Source organism: Homo sapiens, chromosome 12 (genome assembly GCF_000001405.40).
Source record: "Homo sapiens chromosome 12, GRCh38.p14 Primary Assembly".
NCBI lineage: Eukaryota > Metazoa > Chordata > Mammalia > Primates > Hominidae > Homo > Homo sapiens.
The window spans coordinates 110,514,499-110,537,467 of NC_000012.12; the positions used below are offsets into that span (position 1 = coordinate 110,514,499).

Below are 22,969 nucleotides of genomic sequence, written 5' to 3' on the forward strand. Positions count from 1 at the left end.
TATCTCAATAAAACTGTTTTTGAAAAAAGGAGCCAGAATAAAAGGGCATTTGGGATGTCAAGAGAACCTTGAAAGCAACAGGTAACAGTCGAGGAAAGGAGCAAAGGGAAAGAATATAGGCAGCAGGCTGCTTAGAAACCTCTGCCCCCACATCTAGGTCTCCAGCATAATTCACCTGAGTTGTTTTTGAACAGCTTCACTTTCCAGTATCTCCCTTTACAGTATGATCTAGGGCATAAGTAACTGGGCATACAAAAACATATAATTAAAGATATTTTATTCTGGAATTTTGTTTGTACTGCAGCGTTCATGTGTTTTACTAAGGATATATTTTGCTATTCTCTTGGCCTTCAAATGAAGTTATAATTTTAAAATATGCTGAAAATATAGCAGCTATGTATAAGAAAGAAGGTAGGAGTTTGGGTAAATTTTTCTAAACCCAGGCCAAGTAATTATTTATTTCCAGATTAGAGATTTGAGTCCCAGTTAATAAGGTATGTCTTTCTGTTTGTTTTTCAAATAATGTTAATACTGTTCTTTACATTTTATAGATTGCTTGCTGATGCCATTGTTCTTTTTACATCAAGTCAAGAGGAAGTTACTCTTGCTGTTACTCCACTGAATTTTTGCCTCAAGAGTTCTAATGAGGAATCAATGGGTAAAGATTGTATCTGAAATGGTGTTTTGATGGGTTATTACTTCCTGTCTCTCGATTACTAACCATACTGCAAATATTAGTGACATAATTTTATTCCTGTCTAAAAAGCAGTAAGATGTAGAAAGGTTGGAAAAAGCTTTAAGAGATCCAACAAGTTTAACACAATCAGCAATTAAAATATTTGGCTTTGAAATTCAGGGTGTTTTAAAACTAGGAGAATGGGGCCAGGTGCTGTGGCTCACGCCTGTAATCCCAGCATTTTGGGAGGCTGAGGCAGGTGGATTACCTGAGGTCGGGAGTTCGAGACCAGCCTGGCCAACATGGCGAAAACCCATCTCTACTAAAAATAAAAAAATTAGCTGGGTGTGGTGGCTCAGGCCTGTAATCCCAGCTACTCAGGAGGCTGAGGCAGGAGAATCGCTTGAACCCGGGAGGTGGAGGTTGCAATGAGCCAAGATTGCACCATTGCACTCCATTGCCTGGGCGACAGAGACTCTGTCTCAAATAAAAGAAAAAAGAAAATTTGCTACGGTCTTTTGGCACAACAAGCTGTTTGAGACTCTTTGACCTTAGATAATATGTTTTTGGTGACAGCAGTAAGGAGAGGATACAAAGGAAAGAACTATTATTTTAAAGTGAAAAACCAGGGCTTAAGTTGGGTCACATGACTTTTGTAGTGTTTGTGCCAGGTTCTGTTCTAAATAGTTTGCATTTATGAAGTCATTTGATCTTCATAACAACTCTAAGATGTATGTAGGTACTATTATTATCCCCATTTTACATATGAAGAAATTGAAAGCACATATAAAGCACATATGAAGCAGTTGGACACTTTGGGAGGCTGAGGCAGAAGGATCACTTGAGGGGAGTTACCAGCCTTGGCAACATAGTGACACCTCATCTTTACAAAACATAAGAAAAATAGCCAGGCATGGTGGTGCACACCTGTAGTGTCAGCTACTTGGTAGGCTAAGGTGGAAGGATTGCTTGAGCCCGTAAGTTTGAGACTGCAGTGAGCCATGATTGTGCCACTGCACTCCAGCCCAGGCAAGACAGCAAGATCTTGTCTCAAAAAAAAAAAAATTGAAGCACAGAGAAACTGTGGCTTGCCTGGTGTCACAAATTGCCTAGTGAAAGGGTCTGTTTTATGTACCATCATGCCATCTCTGAATAAAGATGGCCATTTAGTAGCCAGGAGAAACTGTCCCTTGTGAGTAGCTTTCTAATGAAGTTATAGTTGACTGGCAATCTAGTTGTTTAATCTTATTATTAAACTTCTTCTATGCTAGTATATTAGGAGTGACATGAGCCTTCTTGTTGGAGATGAATGTATATTTAAGACATTGTTTGATCCTTTAAAAAATATATCATTTGGCCGGGTGCGGTGGCTCACGCCTGTAATCCCAGCACTTTGGGAGGCTGAGGCAGGCGGATCATGAGGTCAGAAGATCGAGACCATCCTGGCCAACATGGTGAAACCCCGTCTCTATTAAAATACAAAAAATTAGTGGGGCGTGGTGGTGTGCACCTATAGTCCCAGCTACTTGGGAGGCTGAGACAGGGGATTAATCACTTGAACCTGGGAGGCGGTGGTTGCAGTGAGCCAAGATCACGCCACGGCACTCCAGCCTGGCGACAGAGCAAGACTCTGTCTAAAATAATAATAATAATAAATATGTATATATATATCACTCAATCTTTGTTCTTACTACTTATATAATTGATATTCATTGAAGAAAATTAAAAATACAAAAAAAATTTTTTAAGTCACCTGATATCCCACTATACAGAGATAAGCACTTTTAATAGTTGGGTATATCTCCTTCTATACTTTAGATCTCACAACAGGAGATTGAGTGAAGATAATGAAATACTATGAAACTATTAAAAGTAACATTGGCCAGGTACAATGGCTCACCCCTGTAATCCTAGTGCTTTGGGAGGCTGAGGCAGGATTGCTTGAGGCCAGGAGTTCAGACCAGCCTGGCCAACACAGCAAGATCCCATCTCTACAAAAATAAAAAATTAGCCAGGTATGGTGGCATGCACCTGTAGTCTATGCTGCAGCAGCTGAGGCAAGGGGATCACTTGAGCTCAAGATTTCAAGGTTGCAGGTGAGCTATGATCATGCCACTGTATTACAGCCTGGGCAACAGAGTGAGACCCAGTCTCAAAAAAAATTAATGGGCCGGGCGTGGTGGCTCATGCCTGTAATCCCAGAACTTTGGGAGGCCGAGGAGGGCTGATCACCTGAGGTCAGGGGTTTGAGACCAGCCTGGCCAACATGGTGAAACCCTTTCTCTACTAAAAATACAAAATTAGCTGGACGTGGTGGTGTGTGCCTATAGTCCCAGTTACTCAGGGGGCTGAGGCAGGAGAATCGCTAGAATCTGGCAGGTGGACCTTGCACTGAGTCGAGATCACACCACTGGACTCCAGCTTGGGCAACAGAATGAGACTCCATCTCAAAAAAAAAATAATAAAAACATTAAAGTAATGTTATATGTGTATGTATAAATACATTCCTCTCTCTCTGAGGGTATGTATCAGAGAGGTTTAATGAAGCAATTTTGTAGTGGAAAACACAAAACATTGACACACACACACACACACACACACACACACACACACACAAATAATTATAAAAATGTGCTTATTGACATGGAAAAATAGCCAAGATATATTGATATATTATTGGGTAGATTATGAAATGGTATGTAGGGTAAGATTGTACTTTCATTTAAAAATATGGCCAGGCGCAGTGGCTCACGCCTGTAATCCCAGTACTTTGGGAGGCTGAGGCGGGTGGATCACGAGGTCAGGAGATCGAGACCATCCTGGCTAACACAGTGAAACCCCATCTCTACTAAAAGAAATACAAAAAATTAGCCGAGTGTGGTGGTGGGCGCCTGTAGTCCCAGCAACTCGGGAGGCTGAGGCAAGAGAATGGCGTGAACCCGGGAGGCACAGCTTGCAGTGAGCCGAGATTGTGCCACTGCACTCCAGCCTGGGCAACAGAGTGAGACTCCGTCTCAAAAGAAAAAAAAAAAAAGTTAAAAATGTGCATGTAAGTGGCAGATGCCTGTAGTCCCGGCTATTCAGAAGACTGAGGCAGAGGATCACTTGAGCCCAGGAGGTCAAGGCTGCAGTGAGCTGTGATCATGCCACTGCACTCCAGCCTGGGCAACACAGTAAGACCCTCTCTCAAAAAGAAGAAAACAAAAAATTTATTAATTAACTTAGATAAGAAATCTGGTATTTAAACATAAACAGTTTAATTTATGTGAAATGGACTTATAGACCCTGAATCATTGGGTAGTTTAAGAGAAATGTAAAATATTAAATTTCTCTTTTGAACAAAGGCATTTAAAAATAGCATGCAGATATCAGGTGGGGAAGTTAGGGTACGTAGGGCAGGAGGAAATGGGATGGGATTTGGGAGACCAGAAAAATTCTTTTTTCCTCTAAATTCATCTCTGGAACTAATTTTATTCTTTATTTTCCCATAATATTAAACAGATTTGAGCAATGCTGTACACAGTGAGATGTTTGTTGGCTCAGATGAGTTTGACTTCTTTCAAATTGGAATGGACACTGAGATAACATTTTGTTTCAAAGAATTGAAGGTAAATAAAGATTTGTATCAATTTAAAATTCAAATTTTCACTGTAAGTTTTTATAAGGATTTTAAGTTTTTTTCTTCTTTTCTTTTTTCAGGGAATACTGACATTTTCAGAAGCTACACATGCTCCTATATCCATTTATTTTGATTTCCCTGGGAAGTAGGTCCTTGAGAATTTTTCTGAGCTTGTTTCTTTTGTTTTATATCAATAACAAAACCTTTTGGATCACTTTGAAATTAATTAACACCTCAGGAATACCTAAACTTTACTATTAATACTTATCAAACTAAAATTTTGAAAGATGCTAAAACATGGCATTTAAAATTTTCTTTTTTCTTTTTTCAGACGGAGTCTCACTCTGTCGCCCAGGCTGGAGTGCAGTGGCATGATCTCGGCTTACTGCAGGCTCTGCCTCCCGGGTTCAAGCAATTCTACTGCCTCAGCCTCCCAAGTAGCTGGGATTACGGGCGTCTACCACCATGCCTGGCTAATTTTTGTATTTTTGGTAGAGACGGGGTTTCACCATGTTGGCCAGGCTGGCCTTGAACTCCTGATTTCAAGAGATCCACCAGCCTCGGCCTCCCAAAGTGCTGGGATTACAGGCGTGAGCCATAGCACCCGGCCTACTGTTTGTTGTTGTTGTTGTTGTTGTTGTTGTTGTTGTTGTTGAGATGGAGTTTTGCTTTTGTTGCCCAGGCTGGAGTGCAATGGTGCAATCTCAGCTCACTGCAACCTCCGCCTCCCAGGTTCAAGTGATTCTTCTGCCTTAGCCTCTTGAGTAGCTGGGATTACAGGCATGCACCATCATGCCCGGCTAATTTTTTTTTTGTATTTTTAGTAGAGACGGGGTTTCTTCATGTTGGTCAGGCTGGTCTCAAACTCGCAACCTCAGATGATCCACCCGCCTTGGCCTCCCCTGTTTCTTTTTAGTCCAGAATTAAGTATCATTTCTAATGTGTTTCTAATGTCCATCAGAAAATGAGTGTCACTGTTGCTCTGACTTGGCTTTTTTAGACCTCTGGCTTTGAGTATTGATGATATGTTAGTGGAAGCTAACTTTATTTTGGCCACATTAGCTGATGAACAAAGTAGAGCATCTTCACCACAGTCACTGTGTCTTTCACAGAAACGAAAAAGGTAAGACTGTGTTTTAACTTCTTTATTACTTGGGACAAGCCATCATAATCTTATTTTGAAATAATTCACTTGCATTCACTTAGGAAACAATTGAGGAGTGAAATATTAGTTAACAAATTTTGACTGAATACAGAAGAGCTGTAGTGAAACTTACCTGTAGCATAGAAACATCACCAATCTCGTGTCAGATATTTGCTTTTTCTGTTCTGACCAGAATTGAACAAGACTGTCTGGTTTATCTGTGTTGTTTCCCAGAACTCAATTCCAATTTTTAGTTTTTGTTGTTGTTGTTGTTGTTGTTATTGTTTTAGACAAGGTCTCACTCCCATTGCCCAGGCTTGAGTGCTCTGGCGCAATCTCAAGTCACTGCAGCCTCCATTTCCCTGGCTCAAGTGGTCCTCCCACCTCAGCCTCCCAAGTAGCTGGGACTATAGGCATGTGCCACCACACCCAGCTAATTTTTTGTATTTTTTTTTGTAGAGACAGGGTTTCACCATGTTGCCCAGGCTGGTCTCAAACTTCTGGGCTGAAGCCATCCACCTGCCTCAGCCTCCCAAAGTGCTGGGATTACAGGTGTGAGTCACCACATCGGGCCTTTAGTTTTTTTTTTTGTTTTTTTTTAGGGGTAATATAGTGTTTTCACAGGAAAGTCTATATTCACTTCCTAGAACTTTTGCTCAGATATAGGGATAGCCATTGCTTTCTTGCTTTCTTTTTTTTTTTTTTTTTTGTTGTTTTTTTTTTGTTTTTTTGAGACAGAATCTCACTCTGTTGCCCAGGCTGGAGTGCAGTGGCATGATCTCAGCTCACTAAAACCTCCACCCCCTGGGTTCAAGCAATTCTCCTGCCTCAGCCTCCCTAGTCGCTGGGATGACATGTGTGCACTAACACGCCTGGCTAATTTTTGTGTTTTTAGTAGAGACGGGGTTTCACTATGTTGGTCAGGCTGGTCTCGAACTCCTGACCTTGTGATCTGCCCGCCTCAGCCTCCCAAAGCGCTGGGATTACAAGCATGAGCCACTGCGCCTGGCTTTTTTTTCTTTCTTAATTTCTTTTCTTTTGGGGGAAGAATGATGCTTTATTGTAAAAGTTATTTCAGGAAATTTGGAAAATAGAGAAAAGTACAAAGAAGAAAATAAAACTTACTCATAATTGCATCACCCAGAGATAGCCACTGTAACATTCTGGCTCACTGCATTTTCTTTCAGACTTAATTTTGTGTATACTTGTATTTTCAAATTTTTTAAAAAAATTTTTTGAGACAGGGTCTCACTCTGTCACCCAGGCTGGAGTGCAGTAGCACAGTCATAGCTCATCATAGTCTCAACCTCCCAGGCTGAAGCATTCCACCTCAGCCTCCTGAGTAACCAGGACTACAGGCACCTGCCACCACACCCAGCTAATTTTTGTGTTTTTTGTAGAGATCGGGTTTTACCATGTTGCCCAGGCTGGTCTCTTAACTCCTGGGCTCAAGCAGTCTACCTGCCTCGGCCTCCCAGAGTGCTAGGATTACAGATGTGAGCCACTGCACCCGGCCTATCCTTGTATTTTAAAACAAGATTAGGATCATAGAGCATATGCGGTTTTGGTATTGTGGGTGTGTTTCAATATCACTGATAATGACTTGAAAACATAATTCTTTTTTTTTTTTTTTTTTTGAGTCAGAGTCTCGCTTTGTCACCCGGGCTGGAGTGCAGTGGCGCCATCTCAGCTCATTGCAACCTCCGCCTCCTGGGTTCAAGCAGTTTTCTGCCTCAGCCTCCAGAGTAGCTGGGATTACAGGTGCCTGCCACCACGCCCGGCTAATTTTTTTGTATTTTTAGTAGAGACGAGGTTTCACCATCTTGGCCCTGCTGGTCTTGGACTCCTGACCTCGTGATCCACCCCCCTTGACCTCCCAAAGTGTTGGGATTACAGGCGTGAGCCACCGTGCCCGGCCGAAAACATGATTCTTAATGACTGTACACAATTTTATCATATAGATGTATAGTAATTTACTTGACTTTTCCCCTAACTTGCTCCTGTTACCATATCACAAGATATTCTATGCACAATGAGTTGCTTTACTGAAAGATTGTCTGTCAAGAGAATTTATAAATGATCATATATATAAATTTTAACTTGCAACAATTTAGTTCCATGTATTTCAATATATTCCCTAATCCAGTGCTATCATTGTCATCCCACATTGTCCATTAGTTATATAAAAATATATTTCACAATAAACAGTTCATTCATTTAATGCCTATTAATACCTCAGGTCAGATCTGATTGAAAAAAAGGCTGGCAAAAATGTAACTGGCCAGGCCCTGGAATGTATTTCAAAAAAAGCAGCACCAAGAAGGCTTTATCCTAAGGAGACTCTCACAAACATATCTGCATTGGAAAACTGTGGCAGCCCTGCAATGAAAAGAGTGGATGGAGATGTCAGTGAAGTATCAGAAAGCAGTGTCAGCAACACAGAGGAAGTGCCAGGGTCTCTGTGTCTCAGAAAGGTAAAAGCATTGAGATTCAACCACATCTCAGTCAAGAATTCTCATCTGTCTCCCTTTGCAGTCTTCCTCCCCAATCCCCACCCAGCCATGTTCTGAAAATTGATTTTCTTATTTTTTGATAGGGGAAAAGTGAAGCTAGTCTGAATTATAGAATGAAGAAAAGTCTGATAGAGAAAAGTCTGATTTACAGAATATCAATAGAAAATAGTTAAATTGTTCAGTCAGTAATTTCTAACAAAGCATATTCAAGTAGAGGTTTGGGTCACTTGTTTCCAAGAATAAATTATGATTTTTTTATGGTATATTCTATCTTGAATAACAATAATATGCTGAGATCATATAAATAATTTGTTTCCTAAAATGTTTCCTTCTAATTTTACTTTTCAAATTTGTTTGGTAAATCTTGTATTCATAATAGTACAAACGTAAATTTCATCCCAACAAATATCACAAATTCCTTCATAGTGGAGTCCCAGTTAATAACATCTTATTCTATAAGATAGATGATAAGCTTTACAGAATGCTGTAGTGTTAAACCTTACGAAATCTACTGAACTGAAGGTAAGCAATGTATTAGAAACTGAAGTATCTCAAATATTGATAATCCTAATTTTACTTGTTTAATGTTTTGTTCAAGCTTGTTTTGCTGTTGTTATTGTTGGTTTGGAGATATGAGTTTCTTAGTTAGAATTAGAAATTTGAAAGCAAAAATAATATTTTTGAAAGTTACCATCACCATCTTGGCTGGGTGCAGTGACTCACGCCTGTAACCCCGGCCCTTTAGAAGGCCAAGGAGGGAAGATCTCTTGAGCTACGAGTTCAAGACCAGCCTAAGTGACAGAGTGAGACCCCATCTCAACAAAAACTTAAATATTAGCCAGATGTGGTGGCTGTAGACCTAGCTGCTGAGGAGGTTGAAGTGGGAGGATCTCTTGAGCCCAGTAGTTCAAGGCTTCAGTGAGCTATGATCGCACAACTGCACTCCAGCCTGGGCAACAGAGTGAGACACTGTTTCTTAAAAAAATAAAAAATTCACCATATTACGCTGTATATGACTTTTAGGGCAGAATTTGATTAGTAAACTGGACTTAGTTTGATACCATAGGTGTTTATTGAGTACTTGTTATATTCCCAACACTTAGGGCAATTTTCTCTTCCTGTATGTTACTAAGTTGGCCATAAAATGAAAACTGAAATCTGTGTTCTCATTGTACAAAAGCATTGTCCCCTCCTATTTTTCTAGTCACACATATTGTACTTACTTTTTCACAGGCAACAACAGGAATCATCTTCCTGCTGCTTCAGGTCCCTGAAATTCACTAAGATTGCCAGTTTCTTTGCTAGAGAAAATGACATTTAGAACTTTAATCTCCATGAGCACCATTACAGCACTCTTTACTCCAAATTTCCTATTGTGTCACCAAATTCTTGAAAGAAGGCTCTATTTTTAAAGGGAATTATTTGCCTTAATGTGGCAAACTCCTGCAAAGCTGAAATTACATTATGGGTAAATGATGTAGACCCTTATCATGTTCTGCCTGAAATTCCATGGGCTTCCTGCCATCCTCTGTGCCTCTGTTCTCCTTCACCCTGCTTCTCTTCCACAGTGTACTCATAGATTTTTGTCCAAACCTGAGGTCTACAGTGAGGCCCAGGGGTTCAGAGCCCTGGCTCTAGAGTTCAAATGCCAAGGTTCAAACCTCTCTCTTACCACGTATTAACTGCGTAACTTGGACAAGTTATTTATTTTGCCTTCAGTTTCCTTAGTAAAATGGGGGTAATAATAATTATGCCCACTAAATGGAATTGTAAAGATTGAGCTAAAGATGCAACAGGCACATGGTCAGTGCTTGATAAAATTTAGTTATTGGCTGGGCACAGTGTCTCATGCCTGTAATCCCAGCACTTTGGGAGGCAGAGGCGGGCAGATCACGAGGTCAGGAGTTCAAGACCAGCCTGGCCAAGATTGGTGAAACCCTGTCTCTACTAAAAATACAAAAATAAGCTGGGCATGGTGGCGGGCGCCTGTAATCCCAGCTACTCAGGAGGCTGAGGCAGGAGAATTGCTTGAATCCGGGAGGCGGAGATTGCAGTGAGCTGAGATCGTGCCATTGCACTCTAGCCTGGGCGACAGAGCAAGACTCCGTCTCAAAAAGAAAAAAATTATTGTTGTTACTTATCACTCTCTTGCTTTTAAAACTCTTAGATTGGCCGGCGTGGTGGCTCATGCCTGTAATCCCAGCATTTTGGGAGGCCGAGGTGGGCAGATCACAAGGTCAAGAGATCGAGACCATCCTGGCCAACATGGTGAAACCCCGTCTCTACTGCGAATACAAAAATTAGCCAGATATGGTTGGCCAGGCTGGTCTCAAACTTCTGGCCTCAAGTGATCTGCCTGCCTTGGCCTCCCAAAATGCTGGGATTACAGGCATGAGTCACTGTGCCTGGCCTCCACATTTAATATTCAGTATAACAGTACAATGATCATTTCATTGAACAAAAATCAGAAAATACAAATAAGAGATAATCACTTCAAATATTTTGATTATTACTCTGCCTTTAAGACTTTCTTCTTTTTATTTATTTGGTTTTTTTTAGACGGAGTTTCATTTTCGCCCAGGCTAGATTGCAGTGGTGCAATCTGGTTCACTGCAACCTCCACCTCCCGGGTTCAAGTGATTCTCCTGCCTCAGCCTCCTGAGTAGCTGGGAATACAGGTGCCTACCACCACGCCCAGCTAATTTTTTTGTATTTTTTTTAGTAGAGACGGGGTTTTACCATGTTGGCCAGGATGGTCTCGATCTCCCGACCTCAGGTGATCCACTCGCCTTGGCCTCCCAAAGTGCTGGGGTTACAGGTGTGAGCCACTGTGTCTGGCCAGTTTTTGTATTTTTAGTAGAGACGGGGTTTCACCATGTTGCCCAGGCTGGTCTCAAACTCCTGACCTCAAGTGATCCGCCCTCCTTGGCTTCCCAAAGTGCTGGGATTACAGGTATGAGCCACTGCACCCAGCCCGCTTTGTCCTTTACTTTGACATTTTAGTAGAATGTCCTAACTTTGGGTTTTTTCTGTGTTTCCTCATGATTCAATTTAAACTATGTATTTTTGGTAAGAATTCAACAGAGTAATAATGTTGGGTTCTCTTTGTACATCGTATCTGGAGGCACAGGTTGGTTTTTCTCCATATTGGTGGTGTTAATTTCCATCATATGGTCAAGGTGGTGTCTGCCGGCTCTCTACTATATAGTTACTGTTTTTCTTTTAGCAACTGGTAAGTATTTTGTGGAGAGATACTTTGATACTATGTCTCACTCTGTTGCCTAGGCTGGAGTGCAGTGGCATGATCTTGGCTCACTGCAACCTCTGCCACTCGGGTTCAAGTGATTCTCCTACCTCAGCCTCTCGAGTAGCTGAGATTACAGGCGCCTGTCACCACACCTGGCTAATTTTTGTAGTTTTTAGTAGAGACAGGGTTTCACCATCTTGGCCAGGCTGGTCTTGAACTCCTGACCTCGTGATCCACCCGCCTTGGCCTCCCAAAGTGCTGGGATTACAGGCGTGAGCCACTGCACCTGGCCACGCCCAGCTAATTTTTGTATTTTTTTGGTAGAGCCAGGGTTTCACTGTGTTGGCCAGGCTGGTCTCGGACACCTGACCTCAGGTGATCCACCTGCCTTGGCCTCCCAAAGTCTGGGATTACAGGCATGAGCCACCCCGCCTGGCCTGCTGTGGATTTTTTATTAAGTTTAAACTAGAAGTTATACACAGCTCTCAGGGGCATCAAAATAGGGACAATATGTATATTAGTAAAAAAAAAAAGATTTTATAATTCTCTTCCTACCCAACTCATATTAGACTTGAAGTTAATTTCTAGTTGCATGGGTGTTCTCAAGCTTCCTCCATTAGATTACTAGACATGGAGAAGGGCCCCATTATCCAGCCATATGAGACTTACAGGCTGAAGGTGGGGACAAGGGAGGGTAGCAAATAGCATTTACTCTAAGCCAGTAGCAAATTCAGGGCAGCTCTCAAAGATTAAAGAAAACCTCAGCTTTCAAGTCTCATATAGCACCACAAACATTATCAAGAGCTATTTGCACGTGATGATATACACTGAACAGACACAGGTGCTGTATTTAGGTCTTTTCTAGCCTTAGGTTCTTGACCTTGGTGAAGACTAGACTCTTTAGAGGCAATTGAAACCATGCCTCCAATTGGTCGGGCACGGTGGCTCATGCCTGTAATCCCAGCACTTTGGGAGACCGAGACAGGCAGATCACGAGGTCAGGAGATCAAGACCATCCTAGCTAACACGGTGAAACCCCATCTCTACTAAAAATACAAAAAACTAGCTGGGTGTGGTGGCGGGCGCCTGTAGTCCCAGCTACTTGGGAGGCTGAGGCAGGAGAATGGCATGAACCCAGGAGGCGGAGCTTGCAGTGAGCTGAGATCATGCCACCGCACTCCAGCCTAGGCGACAGAACGAGACTCCATCTCAAAAAAAAAAAAAAAAGAAAAGAAACCATGCCTCCAATTATGGCCAGATCAGTATGTTAGTTTCCCAATGACCCTTTAACAAATTGCCACAAATTTAGTGGCTTGAAACAACATGAATTGAGTATCTTACAGTTCCAAAGGTCGGAAGTCCTAATTGGGTCTCAATGGGCTAAAATCAAGGTGTCATCAGAGCTGTGTTCCCTTCAGGAGACTCTGGGGGAGAATCTGCTTTCTTGCCCTTTCCAGCTTCTAGAGACCACTTCCATTCTTTGCTTTGTAGTTCTTTTCCAGCTTCAAAATCAGCAACGGCCGTTTTTTCCACACAGCCGCACTCTGACCTTAAGTCTTCTGTCTCCCTCTTCCATTTCTATGGATCGCTGTGATTACATTGGGCCCACCTGGCTATTCCACATCAGCAATTAGAAACCTTAATTCCAACTGCTACCTTAATTCCTCTTTGCAGTGTGACATAACATCTTCAGAGGTTCATGGGCTTAGTACATGGACCTCTGGGAACCATTTTCCTGCCTGCCACAGCCAGTATCACGGCTATCTGGAGAGCAGGTTCAACAGCTGCAAGGCAAGCCTTGCAGAGGGCATCTTCACCTTCTGAGACGTGAGGATGACCCAAGAACAGGGCTCATTCATTTGTTGTCTTGTGGTACTGTGCAGCTCCAAGTATTTCTTGAGAGCTGTGTCCTAGACAGCCATGCGAGGGATACTACAGTGAACAAAATAAACAAGCTTCCTCAACTTGTTTAGAGACTAGAGCGGGTATCACGTATCGGGACTAGGGTATAGGTATAACATGACTAAATATATAATTTTTGAAAGGCTGTGTTTAGTTCAATAAAGGAGAAGTTCAGGGTGCTTGGAGAAGATTTAATGGTATGTACTGCCTTAATCCAGGTCAGAACGTCTTCCCCTTGAAACTGGTGTTTGAGCTGAGCTGGAAAGGATGAGGGCATGGGGGTGGGAGTAGAGCTCAGGGAGGGCGGCCTGTGCAAAGGCCCCAGCAGGGGAGGGAGCCTGGGGGCTTGAAGGAGCTGAGGGATGGCCACTGTGGTTGGAGATCAGAGCCAGAGGGAGACAGTGGCACAAGGGGAGGCTAGAGTGCTTGGTAAGAGCCAGATCATGCTGGAGAGTCCTGGAAGCTGTGCAAGCGGCCAAAGTACCTGGGTATTTAAAATATTTGAATGGCTTTACCTGGGAGGGCTGACAGACTGAATGTTGACTGGATGACTTTAGCTGAAAGTGTTATATGAAAAACGGGCTTCAGTGAGGCAATAGTCACCCAATTGTAGCATCTGAGAGATGGTGATTACTTAGATGAGAAGTGGAGAGAGGCGGCTGAAATAGTTCATTTAGGAGCCAAAACTAGCAGGACTTGGTGATGGATTGGTTATGGGGGTTAAGGAAAAAGGTATCCAGGGAGGTCTTAGGTTTGGAGAAGTAGATTCAGGGCTTAGTAAGATCATGAATTCAGTTTTGGATATGTTAAGGGAATGCTAATTGCATGTAGCGGGTAAAGACCCGCAGTGCCGCCCACCATCTTCCTCCCTGCAGGACAGCTCTACACCAAAGACTCATAAGGCCTCAAATGGCAGCAGCGCTGAGGTTAAGTAACCCAAGTTCAGAGGCTGCTTAGAAGAGGGCAAGCTGGCTGAGCTGAGATTAGCCAGGAGAGTGCGGCATGAGAAAGATGTCAGAGTGAATAACAAGTGGGGAGGACTGAAAATGGGTCCTGACTTTAAGGATGTGGTAAATTCTGTTGACCATAAGTTTCTGTGATATGGGGGTCAGTGAGGGAGAAGCTTTTTTTGTTGTTTTTGTTTGTTTGAGACAGTCTTGCTCTGTTGCCCAGGCTGGAGTGCAGGGGCACAATCTTGGCTCACTACAACCTCCACCTCCCGGGTTCAAGTGATTTTTGTGCCTCAGACTCCCAAGTAGCTGGGATTACAGGCATGCATCACCACACCCAGCTAATTTTTTGTATTTTAGTAGAGACAGGGTTTCACCATCTTGCTCAGGCTGGTCTCGAACTCCTGAGCTCAGGTGATCCACCCGCCTTGGCCTCCCAAAGTGCTGGGATTACAGGCGTGAGCTACCGTGCCGGGCCTGGAGAAGCTTTTTTTAAGTAAAGAGTAGGAGAATGAGAAGATGGAGACAGTGGGTGTAGACAGCTCTACAATTAGAGATAAAGCAGTAACTGAAGGGGGAAATGGGATGAGGTTAGGCTATTTGTTTGTTTGTTTAGAGATGGAGTTTCGCTCTTGTTGCCCAGGCTGGCAGTGGCTCAATCTCAGCTCACTGCAACCTCTGCCTCCCAGGTTCAAGTGATTCTCCTGCCCCAGCCTCCCTAGTAGCTGGGATTACAGGTGCCCGCCACCATGCCCAGCTAATTTTTTGTATTTTTAGTAGAGACGGGGTTTCACTATGTTGGCCAGGCTGGTCTCGATCTCCTGACCTCAGGTGATCCACCTGCCTCAGCCTCCTAAAGTGCTGGGATTACAGGCGTGGGCCACCGTGCCTGGCTATTTCTGTATTTTAAAGATAAGAAGACTGAGCACAGTGGCTCATGCCTGTAATTCTAGCACTTTGGGAGGTGAAGGCAGGAGGATTGCTTGAAGCCAGGAGTTTGAGACCAGCCTGGGCCACGTAGCAAGACCTGGTCTTTACGGAAAAAAAAAAAAAGGCTGCGCATGGTTGTGCATACCTGTAGTTACAGCTACTCCAGAGGCTGAGGTGGGAGGATTGCCCAGGAGTTTGAGGCTGCGGTGAGACGTGATCACACAGCTGCACTGCAACCTGGGCAATAGGGCAAAACCTGATAACAAATAAAAAGGTGAAGATGAGAGGCATTTGAGCATTTGAAAATGCTAACATTCCCAGGGTGCTGGGATGCAGAGATAGGGAGGAAAGGACTGGCTTTAACTTGGAAGAGTGGCTTCTGCCGTAGCAGGAGGGGAAGGGAAGAAGATGGATTAATTAATCCAGTGGCTTACGGAGGCTTCGTTGACCTCTGCCTCTCAGTTCTGGTGGAAGCTTTGATGGCTCAGGAGGGGAGTCAGCAGCAGACCATTGATCCCAAACTGAAGATTGTCATGTGCCTTTGAAGGCAGGGAAAGGTTTGTTTTTTTTGTTTAATTTTTTGAGATGGAGTCTTGCTCTGTCCCCAGGCTGTAGTGCAGTGGCACGATCTCGGCTCACTGCAAGCTCCGCCTCCCGGGTTCACGCCATTCTCCTGCCTCAGCCTCCCGAGTAGCTAGGACTACAGGTGTCCGCCACCACACCCAGCTAATTTTTTTTTGTATTTTTAGTAGAGACGGGGTTTCACCATGTTAGTCAGGATGGTCTCGATCTCCTGACCTCGTGATCCGCCCACCTTGGCCTCTCAAAGTACTGAGATTACAGGCGTGAGCCACCATGCGCGGCCAAGGTTTGGTTTTAGGACGTGTTGGACCAATAATGAAGGTTCTGGGTGTTCTGTGAACCATCACCAGCAAAGACAGGGATATAATACTGGTCAGGTTTCTGAGGAGGGCTGTCACCTGGAGCATTTAATGAGCAAACTTTCTCTTTGGAATCAACAATGCAGTTCCTTTTTTCCCTCCAGTTTTCTTGCATGTTCTTTGGAGCAGTTTCTTCTGACCAGCAAGAACACTTCAACCACCCTTTCGACAGTCTGGCAAGAGCAAGTGACAGTGAAGAGGACATGAATAATGGCAGTTTCTCTATATTCTAATGCTTAATGATGGCTGAGCTGGGCCCCAGCCCAGTGACTGGCTCATTTGCCCCTCAAGCACGAGTTTGCATGTTTAGTGTCTAAAAGAGGTTGTCCAGGACTTCCTTTTAATGGAGGATGGGCTTTTAAACCACATCATCTTGTACAACAACCATATCTAGAAATAGCTGTTTGTCAAGTGTATGTAACTTGCTTTAAATCCATTATGCTACTTGTGAGGCAGAAGAGTTTTCTGTGAAGGAAAAAAGCCCATTAGAGTTCTTCAATTCAATGCACGTTCACCCTAGAGCTTTTAACATCTTTGCTAGTTTTATAAAGGTATTTAAACTTTATTCAACAGCCATTTAGAGTGCCATCAAGATGGCTTGAAATGGAATTTTGTGATTTGTAGTCAGGTATCTTTTGTATTTGATTGCAAACATTTGGATTTTAGTTTTCTCATGTAATACCATGGCCTTTTTTGTGCATTGTTTTTTATATTTTAAGACTTTAAGTAGAATAAACCCTGGAAAAAAGATCAAGAGTAAAAATATATAGTCACTTTCACTTGGCTTTTTTAGACGGAGTCTCACTTTGTCACTCAGGCTCAAGTGCAGTGGTGCAATCTCTGCTCACTGCAACATCTGCCTCCCAGGTCCAAGCGATTCTCCTGCCTCAGCCTCCCGTGCAGCTGGGATTGCAGGTGCGTGCCACCATGCCTGGCTAATTTCTGGTATTTTGTAGAGACAGGGTTTCGCCATGTTGGCCAGGGTGGTCTTGAACTCCTGGCCTCAAGTGATCTGCCCACCTCGGCCTCCCAAAGTGCTGGGATTACAGACTTGAGCCACTGCGCCCAACCTGGAGTGTTTTTACATATTGTAAAATTTTATTTCCTAACCTCAAATTGTTCTGATTTTCAGATGTGATTTTTTATTTTGCAGTGTGCTGCAGGAAAGAATTTAATGGAAGTGATGCCAAATATTTCTGTATTATCTGACATAGAACAGTATCCTCCACTGCCAAGACAGCCTGAGTTTGGAGTGGAATAAGGTGGAAGACAAATGTCTCTGTTCTTTGGCCCTTTAAGAGTTAGCTTTTTACCTGCACAAATGGACTAAAAAATCTGGCACAAAACATTGTTATGTAATGTCTTATGATGTGTGCCTCTCCCTCCCCCAAACCTGTTTACAGTCAATTATAACCTGACAAACGAGACTTTTGTAACATATTATTGTTACATCTTTCTGAAACCTTCAAACCGTAAGGAAGTGTTAACTGGCAAGCAGTTGTACTTTAGACTTTGTGAGAAATTCATAAAGGTGGCTGAGTGGATTTGCATGCTTTAGAACTGTGAATAGAGTTCTAACTGAAACCAGAATTAATTTGGCTCTTGTAGCTTAGTAATGAGTCATAGCTACCCACAATAACCTAATAAAAACTCAAGTTCATCCCAAGATGTTCCTTAGTGAATGAAAATGGGCCTTAACCAAGCTTTTTGTGGTAACTGGCAATGCCCACATAATTTCAACTAAGTCCTTTCATCACATGGTAGGGGAAGATATATGTATCTTATGCTTACACTGATGATTAACACTGAATTTCTGGTATTTCTAACAAATGCAGATGCCTACACAGGGAGCTTTTATACACAAAAGTAACTCTGTAGGTCTCTTTGCTGAGGATAACATTTCTGGTTCATTCATTGAAGTAGGCAGAGGGGTTTAGGTCTTAAAGGCATCATCATCAGTAATAGCCTGGATGCAGCATTGGACTATTATTATAGTTAATACTGGCGGGGTGTAGTGGCTCATGCCTGTAATCCCAGCACTTTGGGAGGCCCAGGTGGGCGGATCAGTTGAGCCCAGCAGTTCAAGACTAGCCTGGGCAACATGGTGAGATCCCATCTCTACAAAAATTAGCTGGGCACTTTGGATTTTAGAATTTGGATACAGAGTGCTAAGCTGAAATACAGTCATGTGCTGCATAACAACGTTTTGGTCAACGATGGACTGCACAGACAGTGGTGGTCCCATAAGATAATGGAGCTGCCCTATACAGGTGTACCATTTTTTTGTCTTTCATACCATAGTTTTGCTGAAACATTTCTATGTTTAGATATACAGATGCTTACTGTTGTGTTACAACTGCCTACAGTATTCAGTACAGTAACATGTTATACAGGTTTGTCGCCTAGGAGCAACAGGCTATTCATATAGCCCAGATGTGTAGTAGGCTAGACCATCTAGGCTTGTGTCAGTACACAATGATGAAATTGCTAAGGATGCATCTGTCAGAACATCTCTGTTAAACAACACGACTGACTGTACAGCAGATTTTTTTTGTAGCTTCCCTCTATACTATACGGAAGGTGCAAAGCCTCAGCTGGGAAAAAGTTCTATAATTTACATTTAATTGTCCGTCCATTTTGATGAATTTCTGAGGAAGCTAAACTGATGTAGTGAAGCAGCTGGAGCCAGTTAAAGTAGCAGCATATAATCAGTGCTAGAATGACTAGGAGGCTTGGAAATGAGGACCTGATAGTGACCAACAAACTCAATGTCAAGGGCTGGTGTCTCATTTAGTTACTATTCAAACCAAAAGAAGCACACAGATTAGTATAAATACTATATTTATTAAATATCTTTACAGTTTATTTAAATGTATTTACAGAACTATTCCTGCATAAGTTATAATTCAGACATCCAAATTCAGGTAATTGCCTCTTGGGTAATAAGACAAATAATGATAGTCTCAACAGAAAAAAAGCAGCTCATTAGTATACACACAGATTCTAATTTGCTTCATTATTTAGCCATCTTTGCCACAAACTACCTGCTAACAGTTAAAATTCTGACATGGACACGTTTTAGTTGAGAAGTTCAATTTTGCAAAGAATTTAATTTTAAATAAATAGAATCCAAATATGTCCTGCTTCATGTTTTGTTTCATAAGCAGATTTTGGTTTTTTGATACTGTAAAATTTTTAAAATGCAAAAATGTGATACAGTTTCCAGAGAAACTGAATGCTGTAGCTTCTACCAAAGATAGCTGGTATTAAGGTGACCTAAAGAACCATGAACTCATCCAAAGTACAAACGTTTACAATTCGAGCCAATCTTGTTTACATTCTCTCAAACACTCAAAGCTGACTCAATAAATTCCCACGATTCCTGCCTAACTTGTTACTTGGTATGGTGGGCTAATGGTACTGAAGGTGGTTTCCATCTCCGGGCTACTGTCCTATCCAGAACACACGCAGCTGATAGAGGAGAGGACGCTCTCCCATCATGCAAAGCTTGAAACCCAGTTTCTAATCTAGACACAGCCCAACCCCCAGACATGCATACCTGGAATGGATTCTTTTGTGATTTAGTACCCAACAACCATGTCAAGCAAGTACAGTAACTCAGGACAAATAACTTGTTCCCCCTGCATCCCATTTCTTTTAGTTTTTAGAGCCTATGGACTCTACTGCATCTCCATTTGGTAAATTTTTTTTTTTTTTGTGCGCAGGCAGCTTAAGTTCATAGGAAGAAATAAGGTTCTGATATGTTTAGAGTGCACATTTTAAAACAACAAAATAAAAATTTCAAGCATGTGATAAAAATATTGATTTTTATAATACAGTATTGCTTTATAAATATAGATGGAAAAGCTATAAACTTTACTGGTCTTTGGTGCATCCAGAGAGGGATAAATAATTTGCCATTTGTAAATTAGAAATCCAAATTTTTTCTTTTGTTATAAAAGTCCATTACATGAGGCGTGTGTGTGTGTGTGTGTTGCTTAAAATATAATTAACACACACATCAGGTTCAGAATCAGACCCACCAAGTGGTACAGCACAGTAACAACCCATGGAAGCTTGGGTCTGTGACCTGGAAAATTCTACTATGGGTCCAACACAGCCTCTGACCACTGAGAGTAGGAGAGATACTTGTTAAGCAGCACTCCAGCTGACCCCCCCGGCAGTCATAAAATTAAGTGCATAACACAAAAAGAACAGGGGAAAATAGAGAAAATATTTTATGTCACTAATCTATAGGCCAGATCCAAAGCCAATTCCACTGTGAAACTCAATTCTTGCCCCCACTACTTTCAGTATCACTGGAACAAACACATCGTCAATTTCTAACAATCGTTTCTCAAAAAGGTAAGCTGAGTAAATAAGTTGTATAAAACACCACCAATCTAGCTTTACAAAGATTGTGTTTGACGGGTTAAATGAGAGCAGAGAAAAACCAGAAACTTGACGAGCACTGCTCTTACCAGGAATTAAATGTAGGCGTTGGAAAATGAATGCAAAATATATCCAGATCATAAGGCTACATACTCTTACCAAAAATAATTGAAAACCTAAACAAAAGAGCTGAAGTTGTCAGTCCTAATATAAATGTATTCATTCTAACAAAACCCTTCTGGATGCAACTTTCTTTACTTTTTAAATACACAGAGACTGCAAATAGTTTGTGCAAAATAAATACCCCGCCACTTGCCACTCATGCTTCTGTGTTTTATCATAGCATGATGATTTCTCCTTAAATAGAGACTCCGTCCAGACCCCCCACCCCGCCCCCACCGCGTCTACCAAAGAATTCTGTTTTGTCAAGTTAGGGTAGTTAAGGCATTCTGACATGTAATTAAAGGTGATTCAAAATAGATTATCTAACATTATGCCAATTTAGGAATAGTAGATAAATTACTGAACGGCTTACAAATGAATAACTCATTCTTATTATAAATGAAATGCCTGTTACAAGCATGATGCATTGAAATATAGTAATGACATGTACATGGTACATGTTAAACAATTTTAAATAAAAGCCTGACAGTTACTCAAATATACAGTACAAATTCACAAAACAAAATCTTTTAAAACAAGTTGAGGTAACCTCAAACATAAATTTTAATGCAATAAACCAGGGAGTCAGTATCTCCTTTAGAGAAAGACTTTCTATATTCTCAAGTAGATTCTCATCAGGTTTAATTGCATTCTCATCTATACACCAATGTTACCTGACTTATATATAAAACATGGCTTTAATTTAAGGATTTCTAAGTATATATTTTTTTCTACCACCAAGTTAATGAAGGAAAAAAACTGACCCAAAAATATATATCTTTACAGCAGTCAACTTGTACACAAAACTTAAAAATAAGTTTCAGCTTGCAGATAATGTGAAAACTGAATGCGGGGTAGTTTTGTAAGGAAACTATACACTGCAAAATGGCTATTTGGAAACTGTAAACATTAAGCTTGATTCAGAAACCCCTAAATTTCCATGTGGGGTAATTGTAAATGTCAGATCATCACTGGGAGTTTTCCTCATGGACGTCTGTGCTGCTGCCGCTGCGCACACAGTGCTCTCTCCACATGGACTCACTGGATTTGGTGCATGCTCTATAGAAAGCAAGGCTACTAATAAAAGGTCTGAGAGTACGAGTATGGGTAGGTAGCATGACCACTGAAAGCCAACAAAATTCAAAGTTACAGCTGTCTGTTCTCAACCCTTCAGGCCTTGGGACCTAGAGTTCCCATTCAGGGGCATTCTATCAGACAACTAGGAGGAATTTCAGCCATAACAATTAAATTTCTAGGCTTTGAGGGGTTTTACAACCTTGAGTATTATTTCCATAAAAAAATACTGGTAAAGTGTCTCCCCTACCCCTCCTGGAGATCAGGCCTTAGCCTGTGATTTGGACTAATCAATAAACTGCCAAAACTTTAACCACAGGAACACAAACATCTTTTTAAAAGCATGAAATATTTCCATCCATAGAACTAAAATGGATTTTTCTCCCGATTTGTAACAAAAAAGCTTTTGGGATCAAAACTGTATAACCCAGAGCAATGTTTTAGAGCAGAATCATAAGCCCCTGAAAAATAGGAGTTTATAACAAAGACATAAAGCCACACCAATCATCATAACAAAGACTATGCCTGTGGAGTACACATGTAACATTTCTTTTGATGAATAATGTATGTTTCTAGTAGATGTATCATTACGTACAATTTGTGTTAGACTTGTACCATCCCTTTAGCATACTAGGATTTTGAATTCACTTTACCAACATTACTCATTTTCAATACTTCAACTACTTTGAAAAGTAACAGCCACGGTGGCACTGAACACCTCCATCCCCATCATGGAAAGAACATCGAGAAATGAAGGCCAATCTTCAAATATTGGATCTCTTCAATTGCTGCCGGCAGATATGAGCTAGTGAATGATAGTAGTGGTTCTCAACAAAGATCTCAACGAGTCTCAAGAAGACAGGCAAAAGACTTACATCACTGGCCATTGAGATCAGTGGCAAAGAAATGTGGTCCTGCCAGCAGGATCAGCACACATGGCAGGGGAAATTTGGGATGATGAAAGGAAAGGCAGGACTTGACACCTCAGCTAGTCTGTATACTCAGCCACTATTGAAAGAAGGACGGTGATGTCATCTGGCTTTCCACCTACAATGAAAATGAGAACCTATCAGTATATTTTAAAAGGAAAAGTCAATAAAAAATGTGTACTTAAATTAAGTACTAGGAGACAAATGCTTGCATTCCAGGCAGTTTTGGTTTGTCAGTATACCCTAGTAGAATAAAGAAAAAAATATTTGATTAAAAAAAAACAGTTAAACAAAACTCCAAGAAATTACATGAAACTGAAGCTTAAAAAAAAAAATCTTCCCTGCTCCTTTACAACAGGAGCTCTATTCAAACAGCCACCACACCCTCTGTTCACATCAATCACAGTGAATCTGACGAGAAAGTTACATGCTTCTATACCCACAATCCTAATTTAGACAGACATATCCAATGTTTTGAAACTAGGAATAG

The 22,969-nt window shown here is 41.7% G+C and overlaps 2 protein-coding genes across 20 annotated transcripts in view, besides 2 other annotated features; one reads left to right on the forward strand and one right to left on the reverse strand.

Annotated features, from left to right (window-relative positions):
* RAD9B (RAD9 checkpoint clamp component B) overlaps positions 1 to 19,058 on the forward strand; it is a 31,226-nt gene extending 12,168 nt beyond the window's left edge. For 11 of the 17 annotated variants that reach the window (NM_001286534.2, XM_024448860.2, NM_001286535.2 and 8 more), the window contains 6 exons: positions 552 to 658; positions 4,178 to 4,284; positions 4,376 to 4,440; positions 5,296 to 5,418; positions 7,679 to 7,913; positions 16,027 to 19,058. In NM_001286534.2, coding sequence (NP_001273463.1) covers positions 552 to 658; positions 4,178 to 4,284; positions 4,376 to 4,440; positions 5,296 to 5,418; positions 7,679 to 7,913; positions 16,027 to 16,155 — 766 coding nt within the window. In that variant the 3' untranslated portion in view covers positions 16,156 to 19,058. The remainder of the gene's footprint in view (positions 1 to 551; positions 659 to 4,177; positions 4,285 to 4,375; positions 4,441 to 5,295; positions 5,419 to 7,678; positions 7,914 to 16,026) is intronic. The other 6 variants (NM_001368052.1, NM_001368053.1, NM_001368056.1 and 3 more) reach the window with 4 other exon arrangements.
* Positions 791 to 1,034: a silencer, noted in NCBI's record as "fragment chr12:110953094-110953337 (GRCh37/hg19 assembly coordinates)". NCBI's record gives its function as "represses an EF-1alpha promoter that drives an FKBP-Casp9 reporter gene in an ReSE screen in K562 erythroleukemia cells {active_cell/tissue: K562}" and the evidence as "EXISTENCE:reporter gene assay evidence [ECO:0000049][PMID:32094911]".
* Positions 15,823 to 16,072: an enhancer, noted in NCBI's record as "active region_7007". NCBI's record gives its function as "activates an Ori minimal core promoter by ATAC-STARR-seq in GM12878 lymphoblastoid cells {active_cell/tissue: GM12878}" and the evidence as "EXISTENCE:reporter gene assay evidence [ECO:0000049][PMID:35858748]".
* Positions 18,747 to 22,969, reverse strand: part of PPTC7 (protein phosphatase targeting COQ7) — a 50,074-nt gene continuing 45,851 nt past the window's right edge. For all 3 annotated transcript variants that reach the window (NR_138550.2, XM_024448869.2, NM_139283.2), the window contains one exon: positions 18,747 to 22,597. Coding sequence is in view for 2 of the 3 variants with exons in the window: in NM_139283.2 (NP_644812.1) it covers positions 22,539 to 22,597 (59 nt within the window). In the remaining variant the exon portion in view is untranslated. The remainder of the gene's footprint in view (positions 22,598 to 22,969) is intronic.